The 13,676-nt window shown below is 49.5% G+C and overlaps 1 long non-coding RNA gene across 1 annotated transcript in view, besides 2 other annotated features; it reads right to left on the bottom strand.

Annotated features, from left to right (window-relative positions):
- The window catches only part of LOC105373611 (uncharacterized), a 241,632-nt gene that overhangs the window by 162,482 nt on the left and 65,474 nt on the right, over positions 1 to 13,676 (bottom strand). The gene's annotated exons all lie outside the window — the stretch shown is intronic.
- Positions 5,893 to 6,394: an enhancer, noted in NCBI's record as "H3K4me1 hESC enhancer chr2:129232933-129233434 (GRCh37/hg19 assembly coordinates)". NCBI's record gives its function as "activates a minimal SCP1, AML or CMV promoter by ChIP-STARR-seq in naive H9 embryonic stem cells {active_cell/tissue: H9 hESC(naive)}" and the evidence as "EXISTENCE:reporter gene assay evidence [ECO:0000049][PMID:30033119]".
- Positions 8,590 to 8,679: a silencer, noted in NCBI's record as "silent region_11952". NCBI's record gives its function as "represses an Ori minimal core promoter by ATAC-STARR-seq in GM12878 lymphoblastoid cells {active_cell/tissue: GM12878}" and the evidence as "EXISTENCE:reporter gene assay evidence [ECO:0000049][PMID:35858748]".

Genomic DNA, 13,676 nt, shown 5'->3' with positions numbered 1-13,676 from the left:
TTTGTACATTTCATCTTCATTATCTAAGTTTTAGGCATACAGTTGTTTATAGTATTTATTTATTTATTTATTTATTTATTTATTTTCTGAGACAGAGTCCCACTCTTTCCCAGGCCATAGTACAGTGGCGCGATCTCGGCTCACTGCAAACTTTGCCTCCTGGATTCAAGCGCTTCTCCTGCCTCAGCCTCCCGAGTAGCTGGTATTACAGGCGTGCACCACCATGCCTGGCTAATTTTTGTATTTTTGGTAGACATAGGGCTTCACCGTGTTGGCCAGGCTGGTCTCAAACTCCTGACCTCAAGTGATCCTCCCGCCCTGGCCTCCCAAAGTGCTGGGATTACAGGTGTGAGCCATCATGCCTGGCCCTGTTTATAGTATTTCTTTATGGTCCTTTTAATTTCTGTAATATTGATACTAATATATCCTCTTTCATTTCCAATTCAGGTTATTGTCCTCTTTCATTCCTCAATAAGTCTAGCTAAATGTCAATTTTGTTGATCTTTCCAAAGAACCAGGTTTTTATTCCATTGAATTTTTCAGATGGTTTTTCTATTCTCTATTTTATTAATTTATACTCTAGTCTTTTTATTTCCTTCTTTCTGCTTGCCTTAGGTTTAGATTGCTCTTTTTTTCTCAAGTGTCTTAAGGTGGAAGTTTAGGTTATTGATTTGAAATCTTTGTTTTTTCTTAATATTGGCATTTACAGCTACAAATTTTCATTCTTAGCACTGCTTTTGCTGTATCCCATGAATTTTGGTATGTTGTGTCTTTGTTTTTACTCATGTGAGAGTATTTTCTGATTCACTTTTGATTTCTTCTTTGATCCATTAGCTATTTTGGAGTATGTTGTTTAATTTCCACATATTTGTGAGTTTTACAAGTTTTTTTTTCCCTGATATTGATTTCTAATTCATATTATAATTGGATATTGTACTTTGTATTATTTCCACTCTTTTAAATTTGTTGTGGCTTGTTTTATGGCTTCTGGTCTATCCTGGAGAATGTTCTATGTGTACTCGAAAACAATATATATTCTGTAGTTGTACAGAATGTTCTGTAGATATGTGTTAAGTCTATTTAGCTTACAGTGTTATTCAAGTCTTCTATTTTCCTGTTAATCTTATGTTTAGTTCAATACATTATTAAAAGTGGGTTATTTAAGTCTCCAACAATTACTGTTGAATTGTACATTTCTCTCTTCATTTCTGTCAGCTTTTGTTTCATCTATCTGGGTGCTCAGTTATTAGTTGCATACATGTTTATAATTGTTGTATCGTCCTGATGAATTGACCCTATTATCATCATAAAATGTCTCTTTGTACTAATATTTTTGGTTTTAAAGTCTATTTTGTCTGATATCAGTATGACCACCCAGCTTTATTGTGATTGCTCTTGGCATAATGTGTCTTTTTCCATTCTTTTACTTTCAGTTTATTTGTATCTTTGACTCTAAACTGTGTATTTTGTATTATAGATAGCATATGGCTGAATCATGTTTTATCCAGTCTGACAATCTCTGCCTTTTGACTGGATTGCTTAATTTATTCATTTAATGTATTATTGATATAGCTGCCTTGACATTCGCCATTTTACTTTTTATTTTCTATGTCCCCTGTCTCTCTTTTCGTTTTGCTATTCTCTTCTACCCTTTCTATTGTATTATTTTCTAATGCAGTATTATAATTTGTTTGATAATTTTTTCACTATATTTTGGGGTTGTGTTTTTAGTCATTGCTCTAGGGCTTACCATGTATATCTTAACTTATCAAAATCAGTTTCATATTTATACTAGCTTAATTTCAGTGACATATAGTAATGTTATCCCTATATAGTTCTATTTTATTCCCCCCTCTTTTTATGGTATCACTGTTATGCATATTACATCTATTAATGTTACAAACCTAACAATACATTGCTATAATTGTTAATTTGCTATCTGTAGTCTTTTCCTTCGCCCAGAGCAGCTTTTTTTCCCACTCACCTCCTTTGTGCCATTATTGGCAAATAGATTACATTTCTATACTTTACACACCCTGCAATATACTATAAACATATTATTTTATACAATTGCTTTTTAAATCAGTTAAGAGAGAAAAAGAAAATAGGCATTTATATTATCTTTTATAATTACACAATTGCCATTTTCTCTTTTTCATGCCCCTCTGTCTCTTTTTTAATCCTTGCCTTTCCTTCACTCTGATTCCCCTTCCTTGGCTGCTTATCAGACATCTGCAGACCTTCTTGTGACACTCGGGACAGGAATATTCAGATGCTTCTCCCCAGCAGCTATGGGACCTGCCACTGGAGCAGGAGAAACAGGGAGGCCACAGTGAACTCTGCCCTTGGAGCCCACACAGAGGTGTTCGCAGAAAAAGCACATCATGGTTGAACCCCTACTGTGTGCCGGGCACCAGACAAGACATGCTATAAGGAGGATCATTATCTTTACAACAGCCTGGCCAGGAAGGTGTCATCATTCCCATTTTGCAGATGAGAACGAGTAAATGATGACTTGCTTAAGGTCAACAGCTGAGTCAAGATTTTAACAGCAGTTTGTTTTATTCCAGTTCCAGAGTTGGATAAGCATCACATGACACTGGAAGGGATGCATATTTTATCCACATTTGGGCACATTCCTTGAGTGCAGACAGAGAATGTCTCCAGGTTCTCCTCCAGGAGGTACCCTGATAAATCCACCTGATTTTACTCTGTTCTCCAATAGAATCTAAAAATCAGGATGGGAAATGTGGTCTTGCGGGGGTTGAGGATTTTGTTTTGTTTTGTTTGTTTTAATTACATCTCCCTTTACCTTCCTGTAAAATAATGAAACACCTGGATAAAGGGGAAAATATTGAATCCCATTCATATTCCATCAAGCTGGGCAGCATCACCTCAGAACACAGATGCTTCTGTTACTTTTCAATAATTTTTAACCTTGTTTTCTCATTATACAAATAATACCAGCTGGGCGCAATGGCTCACATTTATAACCCCAGCACTTTGGGAGGCTGAGGCAGTCGGATCACTTGAGGTCAGGAGTTTGAGGCAGTCTGGCCAACATGGCAAAACCCCACCTCTACTAAAAATACAAAAATTAGCCGGGCATGGTGGTGGGCCCCTGTAATCCCAGCTTCAAAAAGCTGAGGCAGGAGAATCATTTGAACCTGGGAGGCGGAGGTTGCAGTGAGCCAAGATTGCGCCACTGCTCTCCAGCCTGGGCGACACAGCAAGACTCCGTCTCTAAATAAATAAATAAATAAATAAAGCAAGCACTAAAATGGAAGTAATATATAATCCTTGAAAGAAATTTTAAAATGCAGAAAAGTAGAAAGAAGAAAATATAAATCACACAAAATTCCTCTATTTAAAAACAACCACTATTAATATTTTGTAGCATTTTCTTGTGTGCTTTTTCCTCAAGCCTTCTGTGTGATATATTCTGTGTAAGGTCCTGCTTTTTTCATTTGACATTCCATGAGCATTTATCTGTGTCATTAACATTTCTTCATAAGCATGATTTTAACAACTGCCTGATCTTTCATCATATGACTTGATGCGCCCATCATCATACTCTTGAGCGCCCCAATTGCAACAACCTCATTGCACAGAAGGACACATGAGCATGATGGTGGGGCCCTCTCCTAGGCACTGGGGCAGTGAGAGGCCAGTGACAGGGAGGAGAGAGAGAGAAACAGGGAGCAGAGGAAGACATGGTCTCTGCCCTGGAAGAAACTGATGGCCAATTTGATGGACTGAAAGGAGTGGACTTTGAATTCTGGAAAGGATGGAGCTAGCAAAGTTGCTAGATCTAGAATTCAAAACTAAAGAGAAATAACAAGCCCAGAAGAAAAGATAGAATGCCTCAGTCCATCATCAACTCTAACGTAGCAACACTCAGACGCAAGTGCTCAGATGCAAATGGTGGTTTAGATTGATTAGACAGCTGTATGCAAGACAGATGGGAAGAGAATGAGCATGCAAGCAGAGACCAGCTAAGTGGAGGCAACTGCCCACTCCATGTCTGTTCCCTCCTTCAGGTAGCAGGACCTCTGTTTTTCTTGGGGAACCTCCTCCTCACTAGATCCAACCTTGATGGAATGGCCAACCAAGCAGCCCACCCTCCCTCAGCCAGGAGAGGAGCCTCAAATGCTCTCTCGCTGTGGGGCCAATTCTTAGCATAGGACGACACAGTCCTGGGACTCCTGCTTTGACTCCTGTCCTGGCTTAATTCAAATCATTCTTCAGTTCTGACGGCTGCCCTAGAATCTTCCAAAAGCTTCCCTCTCCTTAAGTTGTCCAGCCAGTTTCTGTTACTTTTCCTAAAGAATCCTGCCCACAGAGGAGTGAAAGCTGCAGAGTCCCTGGCACCATCATAATACAGGCCGGACAGACACCCGGTCATCTAATCATCACCACCACCAGAGGAGAATACTGGGCGGCTGCAATTCACCCCTGGCTGGCTGGTGCCGGTGCTCCTCAAACTCTGTGGTGTCGGACCCCAGAGCTTGGTGCTTGTCCTGACCACAGGGCTCAGACCCTTTCCAAGCTTAGCAGCTGACTGACCGATATACGGAAGCCTCAGAGGCACTGAGCCCCCAGGATGGCCCCTCAGTGAGCCCTAACCTCACCAGGGGAGGACAGAGTCCAATCCCAGGAGACCCTGAGATCCCAGCACCTCCCGAAGGGACCCTCCTTCAGTTTACACCAGGGGTCTAAAGAGTCGTTTCATGACAGGCGTGGACACAACACACAGAGTTGCAGCTCACTTTCTTAGCCTGAAAAATCTCCCCTATTAAAATAGATATTAGAATTAACCAGAATTCAGAAGACTGCCTGGCCTGTGGCAGAATGCTGTATGATTTTATTTCAAAAATGGTGATGATAATCACGATGATGATGACATTTTACCACAGTGGTGCCCAAACTTTACCAAAAAAAATGTATTATGGATGTATTCATGTTCAAACTTGTTTAACAGTATGTCATGTATTTTTTAAAAACTCTTACATGGAACACAATATTTAAAGGAGTTTGCAGAGACAAAGTGGCCCTTGTTGGATGGAGGAGGGGACAGAGCACACCCACCAGCCTCCTGTTTGTCCCTGTAGCATTTCTGTGGAAACTTAGGTCATGATTTGAAAAGTCGTTTCAGAAACACTTTGCAAACCAGCCTCTTAACTAGAGCAGGTCATTTTCATAGGAGAATCTGGACTCTGGGACAGCGCACAGGACAGCCTGTTGTAGCCTTTCGCAGGGCTCCATTGAATGGTCAATTGGTCATTTCCCTGATTCCAGCCTCCCTGAGAGGAGAGGGATTGTGGCAGGGATGGTCCTCATGACCCCTCTGACCTTCACCAGCCTGTGCTAAGTCTCTAACACCACTTAGTACTGAGACAACCCTGAAAGCCAAATACCATTAGTATCCCCATCTGACAGATTTTTTAAAAAAGAGTAAACGCATGGGGAGGTTAAATCACTTTCCTGATATCAGTTGCCACTAAGTGAGGTTCCAAGTTGAACCCTGAACAGAGTCCACACCCGTGGCCACTGGGGACCACACTGGGGACACACTGGGGACAACCAGAAAGAGCCGCAGCAGAAATGCCAAGGTGGGGAGGAAGAGCTTACATACTGAGGCCGGGCGACACCAACAGCTCCCAGCTCCCTCCCCATCCCCTGGTCCCCTGGCCAGGCCCTGGTAGGCAGGGAAACCATAAGAAAACTCCCTGCCTTCCACCCACCCAGAAGGGACCCTGGGAAGCTGAGCTGGGACCTTGGCTGGGGAAGGCAGAGAGGCAGGCAGAGTGGGGTGGCGCATGGGAGAGGCAGCAGCCTGGGCTTTAAGGGGCAGAAGTGGGGACAGCCCGAGATCCCATCTGTGCTGTGGTCCAGTCACCAGGCCAGAGCACACAGGAGTCCTAGCAGAGTAGCTGGGCTGGGCTGGGCACCCTGGGAGAGAAGCCCCAGCCACGTGCCTGGGTAGGGTGTGCAGCACGTGTCTGTGGGAGTTGGTCAAGTCTCCACGGCACAATGAGGGCCACTGCTGTGGAGTGGCCTGAAGGCCCAGGAGGCCTCAGGAGGATGCGCAGATGCCAATCCCAGCACCCCCTCACCCCTCCTCCTGCTCCCTGCCAAGCAGCCGAATCTGCCCTCCCAAGTCGCTGGGTGGAGCATTGCTTTTTCACTTCACCCCGGGTATGTCTTAAACGGTGGTGGTACCAACTGTGTACCAGGAGGCCTGCCTGGGGCAGGGCGGGCAGCTGTGGGGCAGCCAATGCCCATGTCACCAGCGGGGATGGTCAAACGGCAAAAGCACTGCAACAGTCTGAGGCTTGGTGCTCACCAGGATGCTGGGTTGCTGCCTGGGGGGAGCCCAGCAGAAAAGTGCTTCCAGGCCACGGCAGCTGGAGGGGAAGCCATTAAGGGGCGGGGGCCCAGCAGAAAGAGTGGCTCCAAGATGCCAGCATGGTCCCTGGCTCAGCCCCCACCTCCAGCCTGGGCCCCACAGTCAGCCTGCTCCATGGCCGGCCCCCACTCCTCATGGGGTTGAGCCCAGGTTGAGTCCCGAATGCTGTCAGCTCACAGAGCTCTCATGTCCAGGGCGCACTCCTGTCCTCAAGGATCCCCTCTGCTGGGAGAAGATGGGGTGCTGGGGCACACAGAGTAAGGGCCCAGCAGAACAGTATGGAGGCTAAAGTAACACCATCTTGGGTTAGTGCACTATGTTGACTTCTGGTTAACTCTGCTTCTGGGAATGCCCCTGAGATTTCCAGTTTATCTATTGTTCCTTGTGTGAGAGCAGGCACTTACCCTAAATCCTGCCCTTAGATCAGATTCCTGCCCATTCCTTCTAAAGCACGTACACCCTTTCCTGTGGTATAGAAGCCCTGGTCCTGGGGTAACAGTGCAGAGATCTTCCTGTCTTGCGGCCACCCAAGACCACGCTTCTGTCTGTACATTCCCCAGTAAAACCAACCTCTAACAACAAGTTGGCCTTGTCTGCCTCCTTCTGTGGTTTCTCCGCTCCTCCTGCCTTTGGGGGTCTCTTTGCATACACAGTTCATTCGGGAAACACACTGCAGAGACACACACATACAAGCTCAGAGCACTCAGAAGAGGTCTCCCCTGCAGCCCTGGCACTCAGCTCTGCCACACGGAGCTGGGAGGGACCAGGGAAGGGACAAACAGGACCCCTCAGCTTCCCAGGGCATGTGGGGGGTGGGGTTGGCACAGACCCAAGGGGAGAGAATCTGAGAGGAACCTGGGGCCAGAGTATTTGGAGTGTTCTTTGGTCTGGGTTCATGTCCAACCCCTCGCTTAGAACTCCCACAGGAACATGTTGTCATCCTTCAGAGTTGCCCACTGGACTCAGAATGAAGCCTGTACCACAAGGCAAGGCCACTGGTCCCCTCACAACCCCACTGCTGCTTTTGTTTTAATTGAATGACCACTGCGCTGACAGTGTGCACCTACTGCTCAGGCCAAGACAAGCACCTACAAAGGGGGGGTGCCCCAGCGCCCCATCCTGTCCTGGCAGAGGGTATCCTTGAGGACAGGAGTGCACCCTGGACATGAGAGCTCTGTGAGCTGACAGCATTTGGGACTCAACCTGGGCTCAAACCCCTGAGGAGCAGGGGCAGGCCACAGAGCAGGCTGAGGGGGCTGGAGGACGGGGCTGAGCCAGGGACCATGTGGGCATCTTGGAGGCCACTTTTTCTGCTGGGCCCTCACTCCTTAATGGCGCCCCCTCCAGCTGGCATGGCCTGGAGAGCTTGGTGAGGGAGGATGTGATAGTCCCTCCCGGAAGACATCCAGATGGTGTGGTAATCACTCATCCAAAGGCCCGCTCTGCACCAAGCAGAGTGCCCAGGTACTGGCTGCCCTGAGCACAGCCAGCCTCTTTGCATGGAACCAAGCCAACTTTTCGTCAGGCTATTTCAGGGTGGTGCAGATGCAGAGGTGATACTCCTGGCTGGACCCCCAAGCCCTGTCTCCCTGAGTACAAACACACAAGAACCCATGTGCGCTCCTGACTGAGCATGGGCGGTGTGACGGGAAGGAATGTTCTCCACGCCCCATGGGCCCCGTCTTTGGTGTAGCCCTTTGCCAAGATGACAGCGACGGGAGCAGTGAGACCGAGCATTCCACACAGACAAATTTAAAGCAATCCGCAAAATCTGGTTTGGATTCGCTCTAACACAAATGTCAGTGGAAGTCAGCAGCTCTGCTTTCAGGAAACCCAATCATCTGTCACAGGGAGTTTGCGTGGTTAAGAAAGACGCCTCTTTCCCCTGTCTTGCACCACATCATTAATCTCCTGGAACGGCTGGGGACCCGAGAGCACCATCAGCGGAAAATGTGAGCATGTGACGGAGTGTGCACTGCTCACTCACAGACCCCTCACAGATAGACATCAGCCTCAGAAGGAGGACTGGGAGGCCCAGGGGCCGCCACAGGAAGGAGGGAGGGCCACGCGCTGCAGAAAGCGATCTGATAGCTCACTGTCGGTTCAACTGAAACTCATCACCAGCGGCAGAGAGGGCAGATCTTCCTGTGAACCACAGGGTGGGGTGCTCACAGCTCCCACCCCCACCCCCACCCCCACCCTGGGTCCTGCGGGGATGGAAGGAGGGAAGCGGGAAGGAGGGGAGGAGGAAGGGAGAGGTAGCCCAGCCTACAGCCAGGGGCCCTCAGACTCTTGCAAACATCGCTGCACTGTGAGGCCAACAGCTCAGAGCTGTAGGGAAGTTCAGAGATAATTTGTGGCAAAAACGTGTTCAATTTTGTCAGAAAGAAACAGAACAGAGGGAAATGACCTTGCAGGCTTCTCACGCACACATTAGCCACAGCCTTGGCAGTGGGATTCAGGACTCTCAGCAACACCTTCTGGCATGGACAGAGTCAAAATGCCAATTCTCCACCCAGAGGCCAGCACAGATATTCATTAAGCATTGCTGGTGTGTAAGAGTCCATGCCTCCGGGTGCAGTGGCTCACACCTGTAATCCCAGCACTTTGGGAGGCCAAGGCAGGCAGATCACGAGGTCAGGAGTTCGAGACCAGCAGGGCCAACATGGTGAAACCCCATCTCTACTAAAAATACAAAAATTAGCTGGGCGTGTTAGTCCGTAGTCCCAGCTACTCAGAAGGCTGAGGCAGAAGAATTGCTTGAACCCAGGAGGCGGAGATTGCAGTGAGCCAAGATCACGCCACTGCACTCCAACCTGGGCAACACAGCGAGACTCTCAAAAACAACAACAAAAGAGTCCATGGTAGGTGCCCTGCCAGATCACAGGTGACAAATCATCGCATAAATAGTGATTTCATCTAAATTGTGGTAAAAAGCATGTAGAGCTGAGAGACCATAAAATCAGGGCACCTAATTTAGCCTGGGGCTGGGCAGCAGGGAGAACTTCCCTAAGGAGGTGACACTTCAGCAGAGCCTTGAAGTGTTTGTCAAACAAAAAAAATGGGCAAAGAGTGTTCCAAGGAAGAGGGTCCCTCCCCTGCCCCTCCCTTACTTCTCTAAGCAAGCTGTTTGCTCCACCAAGCTTACCACTTTCTGACCTTCACACACAATATGGTCATGACTTTCACATGTCCAAGAGCCTTCATTCATCCAGTCCCACCTTCATCTGCTCCTCTCACCCAGCAATTTAGCTCCTGCCCCCAGCCCAGGATCCCAGCCTCCTCCCACCCACCGCAGTGAGTGAATCCCAGCCTCCTCCCACCCGCCACAGTGAGCGGATCCCAGCCTCCTCCCGCCCGCCACAGTGAGCGGATCCCAGCCTCCTCCCGCCCACCACAGTGAGCAGATCCCAGCCTCCTCCTGCCACAGTGAGCGGATCCCAGCCTCCTCCCGCCACAGTGAGCGGATCCCAGCCTCCTCCCGCCACAGTGAGCGGGGATCCCAGCCTCCTCCCACACGCCACAGTGAGTGAATCCCAGCCTCTTCCCACACACCACAGTGAGCGGATCCCAGCCTCCTCCCACCCGCCACAGTGAGCGGATCCCAGCCTCCTCCTGCCACAGTGAGTGGATCCCAGCCTCCTCCCACACACCACAGTGAGTGGATCCCAGCCTCCTCCCACACGCCACAGTGAGCGGATCCCAGCCTCCTCCCACACGCCACAGTGAGCGGATCCCAGCCTCCTCCCGCCACAGTGAGCGGATCCCAGCCTCCTCCCGCCCGCCACAGTGAGCGGATCCCAGCCTCCTCCCGCCCGCCACAGTGAGCGGATCCCAGCCTCCTCCCACCCGCCACAGTGAGCGGATCCCAGCCTCCTCCCGCCACAGTGAGCGGATCCCAGCCTCCTCCCGCCACAGTGAGCGGATCCCAGCCTCCTCCCACACACCACAGTGAGTGAATCCCAGCCTCCTCCCACACACCACAGTGAGCGGATCCCAGCCTCCTCCCACCCGCCACAGTGAGCGGATCCCAGCCTCCTCCTGCCACAGTGAGTGGATCCCAGCCTCCTCCCACACGCCACAGTGAGTGGATCCCAGCCTCCTCCCACACGCCACAGTGAGCGGATCCCAGCCTCCTCCCGCCACAGTGAGCGGATCCCAGCCTCCTCCCGCCACAGTGAGCGGATCCCAGCCTCCTCCCGCCACAGTGAGCGGATCCCAGCCTCCTCCCGCCCACCACAGTGAGCGGATCCCAGCCTCCTCCCGCCCGCCACAGTGAGTGGATCCCAGCCTCCTCCCGCCCGCCACAGTGAGCGGATCCCAGCCTCCTCCAGCCAACAGTGAGTGGATCCCAGCCTCCTCCCGCCCGCCACAGTGAGTGGATCCCAGTCTCCTCCCACCTACCACAGTAAGTAGATGCCAGCCTCCCCTTATCCATCACAGCAAGTGATCCCAGCCTCCTCCAGCCCACTGCAATGAGCAGGGCTCAGCTTCCTCCAGCCCACCACAGTGAGTGGGGCCGAAGTGTGTGGTGGGCTCTTGCAGCTCCAGTACTGCAGACCCCATTGCCACAACATCGGCTGTAGGACTGGATGCACCATGGACTTTTAGCAACAAAAGAATGAATGAATGAATGATGAACCCTATAACATGTGGCAAAATGCAACATAAGGGAAACTCTGGGATTCCCATTCTTCTCTGGCCAACAGCCCACACCAGCCTGGCCAGTGGGTGCACTTGGGGGTCCTGAACATGAGCCCAGACTCTCCTCCCAGGTGAGAACAGTGCCATTTTACAGTCTTCAAAGAGCTTCTCCATTTGGTAGTCTTAAAAAACGGATTTACTGAAACTCCCTCCTGCTGTTTGTTATTTAAAGATTTGGGAAGCCCTTTACTTCTATTCGTCCCTTTCATCAGAGTCTCATGAGAAAGAGAACAACTTCAAGGCCTTGCTTTCTACCCTGTGGCGCTGGAGAAGGGTGGTCAAGGAGGGAAGGGATTTAACTAGAATGGCTTCTAGGGCCATCCCACTCTAACATTCCAGGGGTCCTCAGCCACCAGTCTTAGGGACAGTATTATCTTGAGCAGAGGCAGTGACTTGCAAAGATCCCTTGGCTGATCAGCAGCAAGGTTGGGATTCTATTGTGGCTCTGGCCCAAGGACCCCATCCCACTTCCCAGTAACTGTCCAGGAAAGATGCTAAGGCTCAGCCCCTGCCAACGTGCGTCTCTCCAGCCCAGGTCACAAAGAGGCCTTAGCCTGAGGACTCAAATAACAAGTGCTCCAAGCACAGTATCCATGCAGCCAACCTCACGTGCTCAGCTTCCAGGCCTTTGCATCTCAGCCTAATGGAGCAAGCTGTGAGCACCATGAAATTTTAGCTCTCCTGAGCCCCTTGAATCCAGGGCCCCCAGAAGTAAGGACAGCAGGATGATCAATTGATAAATGTCCTGGACACCAAGACACCTTACCAGGGCCTCTGATGTGACCTGTGACCTGCTGACTGACCCAGTGGAAAGGAAGGAGGCAAGCTCATGTCAGCTGACCAATCACCATGCATCAATCACACAAACTTAGTTTTTATGCATGAGGAGGTGCTGATGAGTTGGAATTTTAAGAATCAAGACAGCTTCCAGGATGTAGGAGTAAAGACAAGTCACCTTGCAGTTCACTTTTGTTTCCTGGGGACTTCACAGGAGTGGTCCCTGACTAGTTATAATCTCAGCAAAGTATCTTTGTCCCCCAGGAAAGGCTATCAGAAGACCTTTTGTTTTCTGCATTGTATAATCCCTCAAAAAGAATCTCAAGGGCTTTCTTGGAGGAAAAGGAACAACATCACAACCCTGCAGTCCATGGGTGGGCACAATGCAGTTTGTGTGGGGACCTGGAACTAGGCCTTCACCAGAGCAGCGAACCAGCATTCACAGAGCTGTGCAGGGCTTGTGTTCAACAGTGACACCTTGTGGCTACAACAGAAACCACAGTGCCTCTGGATTCTCCAGGTTTCTCTCTGGTGTCTGGAAGCAGTACCAGCTCCAGGTTCTTAGGTAGTTTGGGGAGTTTCTGCCCTTCCTACAAATTGAGCTGGTGAAAACTCTAGAAGTTCAGTGCCATGTAAACATCTCTCTCTATCTTCACCAAGCTGGTAAGGAGCCATTCCAATTCTGCATGCACTGTCTTGTTTAATGCTACTACCTGAGTGGCACATACCCATTGTCTGCATTTTGCAGATGAGGGTGTTCAGAGGTTAACGACTTTCCCAAACTCATACACCACAAGTGGCAATGCTGCAATTCAAGCCACAATCCTGCACCCCACAAGGCCTCACTCTGCTTACAGCAGAAGTCAGAAACTAAAAAACATCTCAGGGTCACACTGCCTCCAGGTATTGTCTCCCCTTGGGTCCAGCCCAGTTAAAGCTTCCCTGAAAACCCATCTCTATCTGCAACTTCTCCAGTCAGCATAATGCCTTTGGTATTTGATTCACATGTGAACTGAGCCCCTTGGATCAAAGACTACATGTGCCACATGGCATATTTTTTTCGGGGGGGTGTGTGAGTGTGTATGTTCGTGTTCATTTTGCTTAGCTAGTGCAAGAAACATGCCTAAGCAATCAGCATAACTTTTGAAAATCAATTTGTATTCTGCCAGCCTGAGTGTCATTAACAACCTCTGCTAATACAGCAGTAATGAACATCTGGAAACACAGCAGCTGCAGGGGGAATGGGGTACAAAAAACACTAAGATGACAGCTTGTTTTTCATAAGCTAGATTGGCTCTATGCAAATGGGAAAGGAAACAGAGACAAAATGGAAACCAGAGACAGAGCAGGGGAAAAGGAAGAGAATGAGCTGCTATGCCCCAGGAACATGGTCAATGGGAAGTCACCCACTCCTCAGGCACTACTGGCCTGTCCTCTCCCAGCCAGGCCTCCCTCAGGCAGAGTGCAGATGTGCTCTCAGGCATCGCTTGGCCATCAGCCTATGACTGTCCACAGGGTTAGCACCAGGTACAGGTGAGCTCCAGTAGGCCCTCCTGGCCAGGCAGGCTGTGAAGGTGTCCCAGGGTAGGAGATGTTCAGGCCTGGCCTGAGGCCTGAATGACTTGTGTCAGCTGAGCAACAGAAGAGGACACTCCAGGCCAAAAATGCTGCTAGTGTTGTAATCAGCCAATGGGTTCTTCCTGCCTGCTACACAAACAAAATCAACACACTAAGACCATGATATTGCAGTAAAGAAAGAATTTAGTTGATGTGAGGCCAGCCACGC

The sequence above is a fragment of the Homo sapiens genome, chromosome 2, assembly GCF_000001405.40.
Source record: "Homo sapiens chromosome 2, GRCh38.p14 Primary Assembly".
Classification (NCBI taxonomy): Eukaryota; Metazoa; Chordata; class Mammalia; order Primates; family Hominidae; genus Homo; species Homo sapiens.
Note: the sequence above shows the minus strand (reverse complement) of the source record. Positions and strands in the feature narration are given on the sequence as shown.